This window comes from Homo sapiens, chromosome 15, assembly GCF_000001405.40.
Source record: "Homo sapiens chromosome 15, GRCh38.p14 Primary Assembly".
In the NCBI taxonomy this organism is placed as follows: domain Eukaryota; kingdom Metazoa; phylum Chordata; class Mammalia; order Primates; family Hominidae; genus Homo; species Homo sapiens.
The window spans coordinates 98,976,810-98,992,378 of record NC_000015.10 but is presented as its reverse complement, the minus strand read 5'-3'; the positions used below and the strand labels follow the sequence as shown (position 1 = coordinate 98,992,378).

General features: G+C 43.9%; 1 protein-coding gene across 2 annotated transcripts in view, besides 1 other annotated feature; it reads left to right on the top strand.

Moving 5' to 3' along the window:
- The window catches only part of PGPEP1L (pyroglutamyl-peptidase I like), a 39,564-nt gene that overhangs the window by 15,414 nt on the left and 8,581 nt on the right, over positions 1–15,569 (top strand). The window lies entirely within an intron of this gene.
- Positions 10,253–10,302: an enhancer, noted in NCBI's record as "active region_10145". NCBI's record gives its function as "activates an Ori minimal core promoter by ATAC-STARR-seq in GM12878 lymphoblastoid cells {active_cell/tissue: GM12878}" and the evidence as "EXISTENCE:reporter gene assay evidence [ECO:0000049][PMID:35858748]".

The window sequence follows — 15,569 nt, the reverse complement described above, 5'->3', positions numbered from 1 at the left end:
TCCTAGGTATTTTATTCTCTTTGTAGCAATTGTGAATGGGAGTTCACTCATGATTTGGCTCTCTGTTTGTCTGTTATTGGTGTATAGGAATGCTTGTAAATTTTGCACATTGATTTTGTATCCTGAGACTTTGCTGAAATTGCTTATCACCTTAAGGAGATTTTGGGCTGAGACGATGGGGTTTTCTAAATATACAATCATTTCATCTGCAAACAGAGACAATTTGACTTCTTCTCTTCCTATTTGAATACCTTTATTTCTTTGTCTTGCCTGACTGCCCTGACCAGAACTTCCAATACTGTGTTGAATAGGAGTGGTCAGAGAGGGCATCCTTGTCTTGTGCTGGTTTTCAAAGGGAATTTCCAGTTTTTGCCTATTCAGTATGATATTGGCTGTGGGTTTGTCATAAATAGCTCTTAATATTTTGAGATACATTCCGTCAGTACCTAGTTTATTGAGAGTTTTTAGCATGAAGGGTGTTGAATTTTGTCAAAGGACTTTTCTGCATCTATTGAGATAATCATGGTTTTTGTCTTTGGTTCTGTTTATGTGATGGCTTACATTTATTGATTTGCATATGTTGAACCAGCCTTGCATCCCAGGGATGAAGCTGACTTGATTGTAGTAGATAAGCTTTTTGATGTGCTGCTGGATTCAGTTTGCCAGTATTTTATTGAGGATTTTTGCATCAATGTTCATCAGGGATATTGGCCTGAAATTCTCTTTTTTTGTTGTTTGTCTGCCAGGTTTTTGGTATCAGGATGATGCTCGCCTCCTAAAATGAGTTAGGGAGGATTCCCTCTATCTATTTGGAATACTTTCAGAAGGAATGGTACCAGCTCCTCTTTGTACCTCTAGTAGAATTCGGCCATGAATCCATCTGGTCCTGGACTATTTTTAGTTGGTAGGCTATCAATTAGTGCCTCAATTTCAGAACTTGTTATTGGTCTATTTAGGGATTTGGCTTCTTCCTGGTTTAATCTTGGGAGGGTGTATGTGTCCAGGGATTTATCCATTTCTTCTATATTTTCTAGTTTATATGTGTAGAGGTGTTTATAGTATTCTCTGATGGTAGTTCGTATTTCTGTGGGATTGGTGGTGATATCCCCTTTATCATTTTTTATTGCATCCATTTGATTCTTCTCTCTTTTCTTTATTAGTCTGGCTAGCATATTATCTATTTTGTTCTTTTCAAAAAACCAGCTCCTGGATTCATTGATTTTTTTTTTGAAGGGTTTTTCATGCCTCTATCTCCTTCAATTCTACTCTGATCTTAGTTATTTCTTGTCTTCCGCTAGCTTTTGAATTTGTTCTTGCTTCCCTAGTTCTTTTAATTGTGATGTTAGGGTGTTGATTTTAGATCTTTACTGCTTTCTCTTGTAGGCATTTAATGCTATAAAATTCCCTCTACACACTGCTTTAAATGTGTCCCAGAGATTCTGGTACGTTGTATCTTTGTTCTCATTGGTTTCAAAGAACATCTTTATTTCTGCTTCAATTTCGTTATTTACCCAGTAGTCATTCAGGAGCAGGTTGTTCAGTTTCCATGTAGTTGTGCGGTTTTGAGTGAGTTTCTTAATCCTGAGTTCTAATTTGATTGCATTGTGGTCTGAGAGACTGTTTATTATGATTTCCATTCTTTTGCATTTGCTGAGGAGTGTTTTACTTCCAATTATGTGGTCAATTTTAGAATAAGTGTGATGTGGTGCTGAGAAGAATGTATATTCTGTTTATTTGGGGTGGAGAGTTCTGTAGATGTCTCTTAGGTCTGCTTGGTCCAGAGCTGAATTCAAGTCCTAGATATCCTTGTTAATTTTCTGTCTCATTGATCTGTTTAATATTGACAGTGGGGTGTTAAAGTCTCCCACTATTATTGTGTGGGAGTCCAAGTCTCTTTGTAGGTCTCCAAGAACTTCCTTTATGAATCTGGGTGCTCCTATATTGGGTGCATATGTATTTAAGATGGTTAGCTCTTCTTGTTGCATTGATCCCTTTACCATTATGTGATGCCCTTCTTTGTCTCTTTTGATCTTTGTTGGTTTAAAGTCTCTTTTAACAGAGACTAGGATTGTAACTGCTGCTTTTTTTTTTCTTTCCATTTGGTTGGTAAATATTCCTCCATCCCTTTATTTTGAGCCTATGTGTGTCTTTGCACGTGAGACACCAATGGGTCTTGACTCTTTATCCAATTTGCCAGTCTGTGTATTTTAATTGGGGCATTTAGCCCATTTACATTTAAGGTTAATATTGTTATGTGTGAATTTGATCCTGTCATTATGATACTTGCTGGTTATTTTGCCCGTTAGTTGATGCAGTTTCTTCATATCATGAATAGTCTTTACAATTTGGTATGGTTTCGCAGTGGCTGTTACCGGTGGTTCCTTTCCATATTTGGTGCTTCCTTCAGGAGCTCTTGTAAGGCAGGCCTGGTGGTGACAGAATCTCTCAGCACTTGCTTGTCTGTAAATGATTTTATTTCTCCTTTGCTTATGAAGCTTAGTTTGGCTGGATATGAAATTCTGGGTTGAAAATTCTTTTCTTTAAGAATGTTGAATATTGGCCCCCACTCTCTTCTGGATTGTAGGGGTTCTGCTGAGAGATTCGCTATTAGTCTGATAGGGTTCCCTTTGTGGGTAACCCGACCTTTCTCTCTGGGTGCCCTTAACATTTTTTACTTCATTTCAACCATGGTGAATCTGACAATTATGTGTCTTGGGGTTGCTCTTCTCAAGGAGTATCTTTGTGGTGTTCTCTATATTTTCTGAATTTGAATGTTGGCATGCCTTGCTAGGTTGGGGAAGTTCTGCTGGATAATACCCTGAATAGTGTTTTCCAACTTGGTTCCATTCTCCCTGTCACTTTTCAGGTACACCAATCAAACGTAGATTTGTTCTTTTCACATAGTCCCATATTTCTTGGAGGCTTTGTTTCTTTTCACTCTTTTTTCTCTAATCGTGTGTTCTCACTTTATTTCATTGAGTTGATCTTCAATCTTTGATATCCTTTCTTCCACTTGATCGATTCAGCTTTTGATACTTGTGTATGCTTCTTGAAGTTCTTGTGCTCTGTTTTCAGCTCCATCAGGTCAATTATGTTCTTCTCTAAACTGGTTATTCTAGTTAGCAATTCATCTAACCTTTTTTCAAGGTTCTTAGCTTCCTTACATTGGGTTAGAACATGCTTCTTTAGCTCAGAGGAGTTTGTTATTATCCACCTTGTGAAGCCTACTTCTGTCAATTCGTCAAACTCATTCTCCATCCAGTTTTGTTCCCTTGCTGGCAAGGAGCTGTGATCCTTTTGAGGTGAAGAGGCATTCTGGTTTTTGGAATTTTCAGCCTTTTTGCACTGATTTCTCCCCATCTTCATGGATTTTTCTACCTTTGGTCTCTGATGTTGGTGACCTTCAAATGGGGTTTCTGTGTCTGGACGTCCTTTTTTGTTGATGTTGATGGTATTTCTTTCTGTTTGTCAGTTTTCCTTCTAACAGTCAGGGCACTCTACTGCAGGTCTGCTGGAGTTTGCCGGAGGTTCACTGTAGACCCTGTTTGTCTGGGTATTGCTGGTAGAGGCTGCAGGACAGCAAAGATTGCCGCCTGAAGCTTCGTCCTAGAGGGGCACCTGCCAGATGCCAGCCAGAGCTCTCCTATATGAGGTGTCTGTCGGCCCCTACTGGGAGGTATCTCCCAGTCAGGATACGTGGGGGGTCAGGGACCCACTGGAGGAGGTAGTCTGTCCCTTATCAAAGATCAGACACTGCTGGGAGATCCGCTCCTCTCTTCAGAGCTGTCAGGCAGGGACGTTGAAGTCTGCTGAAGCTGCGCCCACAGCTGCCCCTTCCCCCAGGTGCTCTGTCCCAGGGAGATGGGGGTTTTAGCTATATGTCCCTGACTGGGGCTGCTGCCTTTTTTTCAGAGATGCCCTTCCCAGAGAGGAGGGATCTAGAGAGGCAGTCTGGCCGCAGTGGCCTTGCTGAGCTGTGATGAGCTGTGCCCAGTTTGAACTTCCCGGTGGCTTTGTTTACACTGTGAGGGTAAAACTACCTACTTAGGCCTCAGCAATGGTGGACGCCCCTCCCCCCCACCAAGCTCAAGGGTCCTAGGTCGACCTCAGACTGCTATGCTGCAGTGAGAATTTCAAGCCAGTGGATCTTAGCTTGTTGGGCTCTGTGGGAGTGGGACCCACTGAGTCAGACCACTTGGCTCCCTGGCTTCAACCCTCTTTCCAGGGGAGTGAAAGATTCTGTCTCGCTGGTGTTGCAGGTGCCACTGGGGTATGAAAAAAAATAAACTCCTGCAGCTAGCTCGGTGTCTGCCCAAACCCCCGTCCAGTTTTGAGCTTGAAACCCAGGGCCCTGGTGGCCTAGGCACCGGAGGGAATCCCCTGGTCTGCCAGTTGCAAAGACCATAGGAAAAGCGCAGTATCTGGGCTGGAGTGCACTGTTCCTCCTAGTACAGTCTCTCACAGCTTCCCTTGGCTGGGAGAGGGGAATCCCTTGACCCCTTGTGCCTCCCAGGTGGGACAGCGCCCCACCCTGCTTCAGCTCACCCTCTGTGGGCTGCACCCACTGTCCAGCCAGTCCCAATGAGATGAACTGGGTACCTCAGTTGGAAATGCAGAAATCACCTGCCTTCTGGTTGATCTTGCTGGGAGCTGCAGACTGGAGCTGCTCCTATTTGGCTATCTTCAAGAGTAACTATTAAAGAGTAGAAGTAGAGTATGTGGTTTCAATAAAATTACAAAACAGATAAGTAAACAAACAAAGCTTCAGTCATAGAGACCAAAAATCACCCCATAGAACAAGGTGGGTAAAGGCACCACTGCCATCCCTGCTGAACACTAGGCACTGTAGTTGTCCCCATGCCGCTGGATACTGCACCCACCACAACCCCACCACCACCCCTGCCCACCTCAGGCTTTACTTCTGTCCTGGGAAGCTTGGTGGTGTTGCGTCTATCAGAAACATTTGCTCCTGATGGAATGTTGAGGGTGAGTGCATCATATTGGCTGAGCCAAAGTCATGTGACCCTGTCCTGGCTGCAGGAGAGACTATCTGGCCTTTTCAGCAGGTGTAGTGAGAGCCAGACTCTACCACCAACACTCCAATATCAGGGGTGTCCCCAAACAGAGGAAGGCCAAAGAAATAACAAATGTCCATATGAATATCAAAAATTAAATTGGCTCTCTTTTTTTTTTTTTTTTTTTTTTTTTTTTTTGAGATGGAGTCTCACTCTGTCACCCAGGCTGGAGTGCAGTGGCACAATCTTGGCTCATTGCAACCTCGCCTCCCGGGTTTAAGCAATTCTCCTGTCTCAGCCTCCCAATTAGCTGGGACTATAGGTGCATGCCACCACACCCAGCTAATTTTTCTATTATTAGTAGAAACGAGGTTTCATCATATTGGCCAGGCTGGTCTCCATCTCCTGACCTCTTGATCCACCTGCCTCAGCCTCCCAAAGTGCTGGGATTACAGGTGTGAGCCACCATGCCCAGCCTAAATTAGCTCTTCTAAGTCTGACATATTTATCCATTCCTGATGTGGAGCACAAAGATTATTATTATGTTAGTCTCTTCCTCTTCCATTTCCACCCCAACTGGGTGTACTGCATAAAATTTTGACACTAATTATCTGGAGTTAGCACAGACCCCGTAGGCTAAGAGCAAAGTTCTCCATGAAGTTGTCCCCACTTCAGATGCCAGCCACACTTCAAGGGGTCACCAGATCCACCTGTACTTCTGGCCAAATGGCTATTAATTTAGGAGTTCTTACAACCCCAGGTTCAATGATTCATCAGAACTACTTACAGAACTCAAGAATGTGCTATACTTACATTGCAGTTTCATTATGAAGGGTGAGGTCTGGGAGGATCCCAAATCCATGCCCTCTCACTATGGTGTTGGCACGTTACCCTCCTGAAACATCCAGACACTCATCAAGAAGCTCTACTTAGCTTTGGTATCCAGAGTTTTTATTGGAGATTCCTTATGTAGACATGACTGATTACATCAATGGTCATATGATTAAACTCAATCTTCAGTCCACCTCCCCTTTTTGAAGATCTGGTACCAGAAAGCCTAACTCTCTGATCACTTGATTGTTTTTTTCTGGTGGCCAGATCCCATCCTGAAGCTATTTAGGGGCCCACATGAGTCACCTCATTCCCATGAAAGACACTTCTATCACTTACAAAATTCTAAGGGTTTTTGAAGCTCTGTGCCTGGAACTAGGGACACAGGCTAAGTATACTCTCTCTTATGCCACAGTTCCCTATAGGGGTTCCTGTTTAGGGAGAGGACATGGTCCATAAACAAAATAATTACAACACAAAGCAGATTCTAAGAAGAGCTGCATGCTGCACTGTAGGCATCTGAGGAAGAAAAGACATTAATTTCATCCTGAAAAACATATGGAAGAAAGCAACATAATGAGGAAGCTCAAGCAAAGTTGAAAAGAAACTACCCTGGAGGGAGGGTAGCTGGGAAGGCTGCCTGGTGGAAGCAGCAATGAAGGCTAACTTCTTCTGAAAAGCTGGAATAAATTCTCAAAATGACTTTTTATGCAGAGTAGTTCATTGAATTCTTCCTGCTTTCCAGAGGCATTGAAATTGTTCCCATTTTGCAGATGAGGAAAGGGGTGCTCAGAGAGGTTGCACATCTGGCCTGAGGGCACATACCACAAAGTGGTGGTGCCTGAATTCCAACCTCAGTTGGTCCTGGTGAGGGAAGGCCAGGTTCAGCCCACTTGCGCTCTTCTCCTGGGGTCAGGAAACATTTAGTTCAGAGGAAGAGGATCACTTCTAGCACAAGAGTGGGTTTTTTGTTTGGTTGTTTGTTTGTTTGTTTTGAGATGGAGTCTTGTTCTGTTGCCCAGGCTGGAGTGCAGTGGCACCATCTTGGCTCACTGCAACTTCCGCTTCCCGGGTTCAAGTAATTCTCTTGCCTCAGCCTCCTGAGTAGCTGGGATTACAGGCACCTGCCATCACGCCAGCTAATTTTTGTATGTTTAGTAGAGATGAGGTTTCACCATGTTGGCCAGGCTGGTCTCGAACCCCTAACCTCAGGTGATCCTCCCGCCTTGGCCTCCCAAAGTGCTAGGATTACAGGTGTGAGCCACTGTGCCCAGCCAGTGGGTTTAAAACTTAGTAGAAATCAAGAGATAGAAGAACCTGAGGACCTGAGGGTGAGCGAAGTGAGGATAGTCACCCTAATGCCTCAGCCCTATATCCATCTCTTCATGGCTGTCCCTGTGCCGTGAGTTCATATTTGCCCCTCCTCAAGCTCTGCGTCCAGTGCCTTAGACATAGACTGCACTATAGGCTGCTCAATCTTCTTGCTCACCATAGGGCCGTGTGCGTGGTGACCAGAACAGAAGCCCCAGTAACAGCAGATGGACCCGCAAGGAGCACTACCAGGAATGGCATCTGGAAGCAGCAGTTTCCTAGGCTGGCAGGCCCACGTCCAGGGTTCCGGTACCCTCTGCCAGTCGAGTTTGTCTTCTCCACCGTCCTTGCTATCAGTCTCTAGCTTTCATTTTCCCCTTCTTGGTGGTATTTTCGTCTGGGCAGAGTTCATTGCAACCTCTTTAGAAGCTCTCTTCACTATCAATCTGCAGGACCACTGTCTCTTCCTGGGCTATCCTGGGTCACTCCAGGTCCTCCACTAACATGTCTGTAGGATCCACTGGGATTCTGGTTTGGGACCTCATTCGTAGTACCCACTGAAAGTGCCAGTATACAGCCAAAAGTGTCCATAGTAGGTATAATCATCTAAGTGGCTGTATTAAGGTAATGTTCATGGACGTTCATTTGACCCATTACACGGATATAGAAATAGACTTAGATGGGCTGAATAATGAACAAAAGGGCACATGGCATCTTGAGTCAATACAAGCGTCTCACTGTCTCTAGGGTCCTGTGTAACATATCCCCATCTCCACCAAGGGCCCGGCTATGTGTTCACTAGATACATGAATGAATAGTTTTCTTTTCTATCCTCCTGCATTCTCCCAGCAAGAGTCAATTTTATCAATATCAAGAGCATTACCAAGCAATGTTTAAAGAGTACTTACTCCAGGCCGAGCACGGTGGCTCAGGCCTGTAATCCCAGCACTTTGGGAGGCCACGGTGGGTGGTTCACAAGGTCAGGAGATCGAGACCATCTTGGCTAACATGGTGAAACTCTGTCTCTGCTAAAATACAAAAAAATTAGCCGGGCGTGGTGGTGGGCGCCTGTAGTCCCAGCTACTTGGGAGGCTGAGGCAGGAGAATGGTGTGAACCCGGGAAGCAGATCTTGCAGTGAGCTGCGCCACTGCACTCCAGCCTGGGCGACAGAGTGAGACTCAAAATAGAAAAAAAAAAAAAAAAAAAAAAAAGACTACTTACTCCACTGCCAGGCATTATAAATGGGAACTCATGGAATTATAGATAGTAAGGAAAAAAATGTTCAATTTTACACCGCAGCATTTTGCCTCTAAGAGAGGTGAGCTTTTAACAAATAACTCAAATGCATTTTTATTGTGGTTGCTCATGAATGGGAAAAGGATATTTTGAAAAGAAGAAAAATACAGACAGATTATTATACATGCTAAAAGTTCACAAGGAAAAGAGGCAGTTCCTACAAACTCCCAGAAAAGCGACTTAATGCTGTTTGCAGTATGTGCCAAAATATTTAACATTGAGCCAGACTAGGACGGGCACTCTTCCCTTCTTAGTCTCAAGTTTTACATAGTGACCTGTGCAGTAGTTACATCATTATTCCCTGGTTTCTGGATACTCTAATTTTGGAGCCACTACCACCTCATATTCATTCAAAAGAAATTACATGCTTAGCTCTTAAGTGCCTCAGCCTGGTGAGTCAGCAAATAAAACAAGGGTTTTTGAAAACACACCCAGGGTCAGTTGGGCCAAGACATTACGTAACTGCACTTAAAATACAGCCTAGGCAGCCAAGAGGTCAGGGCTCTTCTCATATTTGATAAACTTGACATGCAGAATAATTTCTCTTTGCCCCAAAGATGAGGTGGCCTGGTGCCTTTCTTACATGTTGCTTTAAATAATAATAATAATAATGAATAAAGAGCCGTGAATCAGAACAGTCAAAGAATTTCTAAGCTGAACGGTGCTTTAGGATGAAAGCTGAGTCCTGTTCAGGGATAGGAAAGTAACTGCAAACCTTTCCAAGTGAAAGAAAATTGTTTCTCTTGATTCTTCTTTTTTTTTTTTTCCCAAGAGAACCTTTATTCTTCCCACCAAATCCCAGGACAAAACCTTTTTCCAACCTAGGTGAATACAAACACATATATGACAGACATTTTTCCAATTAGTCCAGAGTGGGTTTGTTTTGTTTTCTTGACTAAAATGAGAAAGCCTCAGGCTGGGTGCGGTGGCTCACGCCTATAATCCCAGCACTTTGGGAGGCTGAGGCAGGTGGATCACTTGAGGCCAGGAGTTTGAGACCAGCCTGGCCAACAGGGTGAGACCCTGTGTCTACTAAAAACACAAAAATCAGCTGGGCGTGGTGGCTGGTGCCTATAATCCCAGCTACTCAGGAGGCTAAGGGATGAGAATTACTCAAACCCGGGAGGCGGAGGTTGCAGTGAGCCAAGATCATGCCCCCGCACTCCAGCCTGGGCAACAGAGCAAGACTCTGTCTCAAAAAAAAAAAAAAAAAAAAAAAAAAAAGCCTCAGATAAAAATAACCAGAGTGAGGAGGAAGGGAGACCTCAGACATCTCTCTAGTTTACACAGACCTCACCTATGATAGCCCCCAGCTCAGCGTCAACCATGTCCTGGGCACCCGCTTCAGTGGGTTATCTGAACATTGGCCTCCACGGTTGGATAACCCAAATGCACTTTCCCATGACGTCTTACACCTCCTTTTTTCAGTCTGGTGACTGTAGTGTGAGCCCCACCTTGTTAGTGGGAAGAGAAGTAACCAAGTGGTGATACACAGTTCACTCTGGCCTTGGAACAGCATGAAATAGGACTGTCCTTGCATTCTCACTTCGAAATGACACAAGAATCCACAAGAATCCACAAGAATATGGGGACTGTGTGAGTCCATGGCAAAGAGCCTGTGCTCTCATAGTCCCAGTCGCCTGCACAAGGGGCCGCACTCCAGGGAGCTCCCAAGGATCGAGGCGAGTGCAGATGGAATCCACACCTTGGTGGAGGAGACCCCACGGTCCACATGCATGGAGGGTGTCTGCTGTGGCTTCACAGTCCTCCCCACAAACACCGTGCTCCTAGTAAACGCTCAAGGAAACATATTTTTTCTGCTTATTTGGAGAAAAGTTTGCTATTCACAGACAAGTGAGTCATATGTTTAGTTCTAGCTAAACCCCAAATCCATTCCCACGTTGACAGGAAGACAAGCCAGAAAAACCAGACCAAGATGATCTTTCAGAATGACCCCCACATTTTTCCCGGATGTTACTGTGGGTCCCCCTACTTCCTACATGGCCCCCAGCAAGTCTAGAGTCCTTACCCTTTTCCAGGGTGCTAAACAGAGCAGCCTCTCCAGCTTGTTCCCTGTTTATTTTTTTAGACAAACTTTTTATTTAAAAATACGTTTATATGTACAGAAAAGTTGTGAAGATAGCACAGAATATATATTCCTCAATTCTTCCCATTATTAACCTTGTACGTTAGTATGGTGTATTTGTCACAATGACGGAACCAGTAGGAATATATTACCTTTACATAAAGTCCATAGTCTATTTGGGTTCCCTCAGTTTCCCCTAATGCCTCTCTTCTGTCCCAGAATCTCAGCCAGAACACCACATTCATAAGTCCTCGAGTCTCCGTAGGCTTGTCTTGGCTGTGGCCATTTCTCAGACTTACCTAGTTTTGTTTGTTGTTTTTGTTTTGTTTTTGTTTTTTTTTTTTTTTTTGAGACGGAGTCTTGCTCTGTTGCCCAGGCTGGAGTGCAGTGGTGCGATCTCGGCTCACTGCAAGCTCTGCCTCCCGGGTTCACGCCATTCTCCTGCCTCAGCCTCTCGAGTAGCTGGGACTACAGGCGCCCGCCAGCACGCCCGGCTAACTTTGTATTTTTAGTGGAGACGGGGTTTCACTGTGTTAGCCAGGATGGTCTGGATCTCCTGACCTCGTGATCCGCCCGCCTCGGCCTCCCAAAGTGCTGGGATTACAGGCGGGAGCCACCGCGCCCGGCCAGACTTTCCTAGTTTTTGATGACGTTGATGGTTTTGAAGAGTCTGGCCAGGAATTGATAGTTTGTTCCTCAATTGGGACTTTTCTGCTGCTTTTCTCATGATCAGACTGAGGTTAGGGGGAGGAAGACAGAGGTAAAGTGTCACTTTCATCCTGTCAGATCAAGGGCACACAGTATCAGTGTGACAGCACTGTCCATGATGACCTTGATCTTACTTGGTGGAGGGAGTGTTTGTCAGGCCTCTCTACCATACAGTTAATTTTTTTTTTTTTCCTTTTCCAGATGGAGTCTCTCTGTGTCACTGAGGCTAGTGTGCAGTGGGGGTGATCTTGGCTCAGTGCAAGCTCTGCCCCCCAGGTTCGAGCAATTCTCCTGGCTCAGCCTCCTGAACAGCTGGGACTACAGGCACATGCCACCACGCCTGGCTAATTTTTGTATTTTTAGTAGCGACGGGGTTTCACTCTTTTGGCCAGGCTGGTCTCAAACTCCTGACCTCAGGTGATCCGTCCACCTCGGCCTCCCAAAGTGCTGGGATTACAGGCGTGAGCCACTGCACCTGGCCACCATACAGTTACTTTTTGTCCCCACTTCTATCCTGTCCTCTTTGGAAGGAAGTAACTCTGCGCAGCCCACACTCGAGTGGGGGAGTTCCTCTCTGCTTCAGGGTAGAGGAGTTACATCGGTTACTGGGAGTGCAAGTGCATGAGAGAGCTGAGTCCTCCTCCTGGACCCACTTACTTATTTGTTTACTTATGTATGTAGTCATTTCATTAGATCAGGATGGACTCATGAATATTTATTTCTCATATTTTGGCCTATGGCTTGTTTCCTTTTGAAAGTCTGTCTCCTCCTGAAACCTTTTCCTCCCCCCTCCTCCCTTTACTATCCTAGGACAATGCCTCCCTGATCGTTCAGGTTTCTCTGCTCCAAGGGAAATGGCACGAGTCCACACTTTGTTTTTATGGCTGTGTGTTTAGCTGTATTAAAAGTTAGACTAAGTTGGACACTTTTCATTTATTTATTCTTTATTTTCATAAGTTTTTGGGGAACAGGTGGTATTTGGTCACATGAGTAAGTTCTTTAGTGGTGATTTGTGAGATTTTGGTGCAGCATCACCCAAGCAGTATACATGAACCCAATTTGTAGTCTTTCATCCCTCACCTGCTTCCCACCCTTTCCCATCGAGTCCCCAGTGTCCATTGTATCATTCTTATGCCTTTGCATCCTCATAGCTTAGCTCCCACTTATGAGTGAGGACATATGGTGTTTGGTTTTCCATTCCTGAGTTACTTCACTTAGAATAATAGTCTCCGAGGCAGGCAGATCACAAGGTCAGGAGTTCGAGACCAGCCTGGTCAATATGGTAAAACCCCATCTCTACTAAAAATACAAAAATTAGCCGGGTGTGGTGGCACTCGCCTGTAGTCCCAGCTACTGTGGTGGCTGAGGCAGAAGAATCGCTTGAACCCGGGAGGCAGAGTTGCGGTGAGCCAAGATTGTGCCATGGCACGCCAGCCTGGGTGACAGAGTGAGACTCTGTCTCCAAAAAAAAAAAAAAAAAAAAAAAAAAAAAAAAAAGAATAGTCTCCAATCCCATCCAGGTTGCTATAAATGCCATTAATACATTTCTTTTTATGGCTGAGTAGTATTCCATCCTATCTATATACCGCAGTTTCTTTATCCACTCATTGATTGATGGGAATTTGGGCTGGTTTCACATTTCTGCAATTGCAAATTGTTGGGCACTTATTAAATAACCACACTACTTATATATAGAAGTCTGTGCTGTGTTGCTATGTGCATGTCCTCCTGTTCTTGTACTCATCGCCTACCATATTTTATTGATGCAAAGAGCCAGGTGTTTTTTGGTTTTTTTTTTGTTTTAATTTTGGCATCCTGAAATCAGATGAATCTCACAGGCAGCTGCATCTTATGCTTTGTCATAGTTGAGCAGTACTTTTACTGTCTTGCTGGTTCGTACAGTAATGCTCGATGTTCCATCTCTGGGACTTAGATTTGATGAAATCCATCACATCCTTCCTGGGTTACGCACTCTGTCAGCATGGGAAACAGTCTGACCTGTTTATCTTGTTTCACAGAATCCAGACCAGAATCTTGAGGGCATTGGGGCTATATTTGTGCTGCCATAAATGTAATAAAAATATATATATATATATATCCTGTAGCCAGGCGCGGCGGCTCACACCTGTAATCCCGGCAGTTTGGGAGGCCAAGGTGGGCGGATCACGAGGTCAAGAGATCGAGACCATCCTGGCCAACATGGTAAAACCCCATCTCTACTAAAAACACAAAAATTAACTGGGCGTGATGGCGCGTGCCTGTAGTCCCAGCTACTCGGGAGGCTGAGGCAGGAGAATTGCTTGAACCCGGGAGGCGGAGGTTGCGGTGAGCCGAGATCATGCCACCGCACTCCAGCCTGGTGACAGAGCAAGACTGTGCCTCAAAAAAAAAAAAAAAAAAAAAATATATATATATATATATATACACAGTCTAATGCTAGAGAAAAAGACACAAATAAGTGGGGCCCTGGAAATCAGGCAGGTTACTTAGGGCAGCAGAATGTCTAATTTGGTCCAGGATTCAGAAGATAAGTCTTAGTTCTTTTCCGTTCTACACAGTTTTTTTTGGGGAAAAAACAAAAAAGGGAAGTCTACTGGGCAAACCTTTTCTCATCTCCATCCTCACATCCACTTCCATGGTACAAATCTTGAAAAATGTCAGCATTACATTACAGATGCCAAATCTGGGATTCCAAAATCCAGTAGGCCTGCCTGGGCCTGCAGGCTGTGAGCCAGTTTGAGATGCCATTAATTAGGTCCCTGGACTCTACACTGACATCTGTAATCACAGATGATTACTCCATACCCCAGACCAGCCTTGGGAAGTTGCACCTCTCAGGGGTGCCCCGACTCTCCCAGTTTCGGGTTCCACTCTGGGCCCTAGTGCTCACACACAGCGCCTTCTCTTTCATCAGGGAAGCATGTGTGCTGCTGTGTTTCCTCTCTTGCAGGCATTTGCAAAATTATCTAGACAGGGACTAATGAACCGAAAAGATCTCTGGAGGTGAAATTTCAGGCACTGGGTCCCCAAGAGATGGGGAAATGGTTGGGGAGCCACAAGATGCCTTTTGGGCAGCAGCCCTCAGCCAACAGCCTGCTGGGCTCACCCTATTTTTTGCCCACTTGTAAGACTATTCCTGACCTTTACCTCCCTTGAGAGCTGTGTTCTAGAGCTCACAATGTGGAGTCAGAATGTCGTGTAGCAATTAGGTATTAAGCATTCAATGAACCATGGTCAATAAATAAGACATAATAGATGTAAACATTCATGCTCCTAATAACAGTGCTTGTAAAATACGTGCAGCAAAAACTAATAGAACTTTAAGGAGAATAGATAAATTCACAGTTAATAGTCAACGATTTCAGTACCCCTCTCAATAACGGACAGAACACATAGACCAAAAAGGATACAGCAGACTTTAACAACACTACCAACCTACCAGACCTCATTGACATTTGTAGAACACTCCACCCAGCATGGAACACACTCTCATATGTGCATATGCAGTGTTTGCCAAGACAGAGACTATACCCTGGGCCATAAAACCAGTCTGAATAAATTCAAAAGGATTCAGGTCACATAAAGTGTGTTCTCTGGCCACAGTGGATTTTAATTAGAAATCAATAACAGACATCTGGAAATTTCCTAAATTTTGGAAACCAAACAAGATACTTCTAAATAAGCCAGAGATGAAAGGAGACATAAAAAGGAAATTAGCAAGCATTTTGAAATGAATGAAAATTAAAACATATCAGAGGGAAATTTATGGCACTAAACAATATTATAGCAGAAGAAAGTTCTCAAATCAGTGACTTTGATTTCTATCTTAAGAAACTAACAGAACAAATTAAACTAAGCAGAAGAAAGGTAATAGTAAAGATGAAAGCAGAAATCAATGAAGTAGCAGAAATATAACAATAGAAATCAAACCAAAACCCAAAAGTTAATATTTTGAGAAAATTAATAAAATTGATAAACCTTCATTTAGATTGATCAAGAAAAAAAATAAAAGACCATTTCTATTAACTTTTAAATATATTTACCATGGCCTGGCCTCCAGGCCTGGTTCCATACTCAAACTACTCTTATCAAAGTCACTACAGACTTGTTTTTTTTTTTTTTTTTTTGCCATTTTACTTGACCTCTCTAGGGTCCTAATAATCATTATGGTGGATACAGTATTGTTGTACCCATTATACAGGTGAGGAGCATGAGGCCCAAGTTGACCAGGCCCTCCTTGTTTCTCCTCTTGTTAACTTGAAAGGTTGCTGTGATAATTCAGTGAAATAAAATAATAATCTGTAAAAATGTATTATCTCCA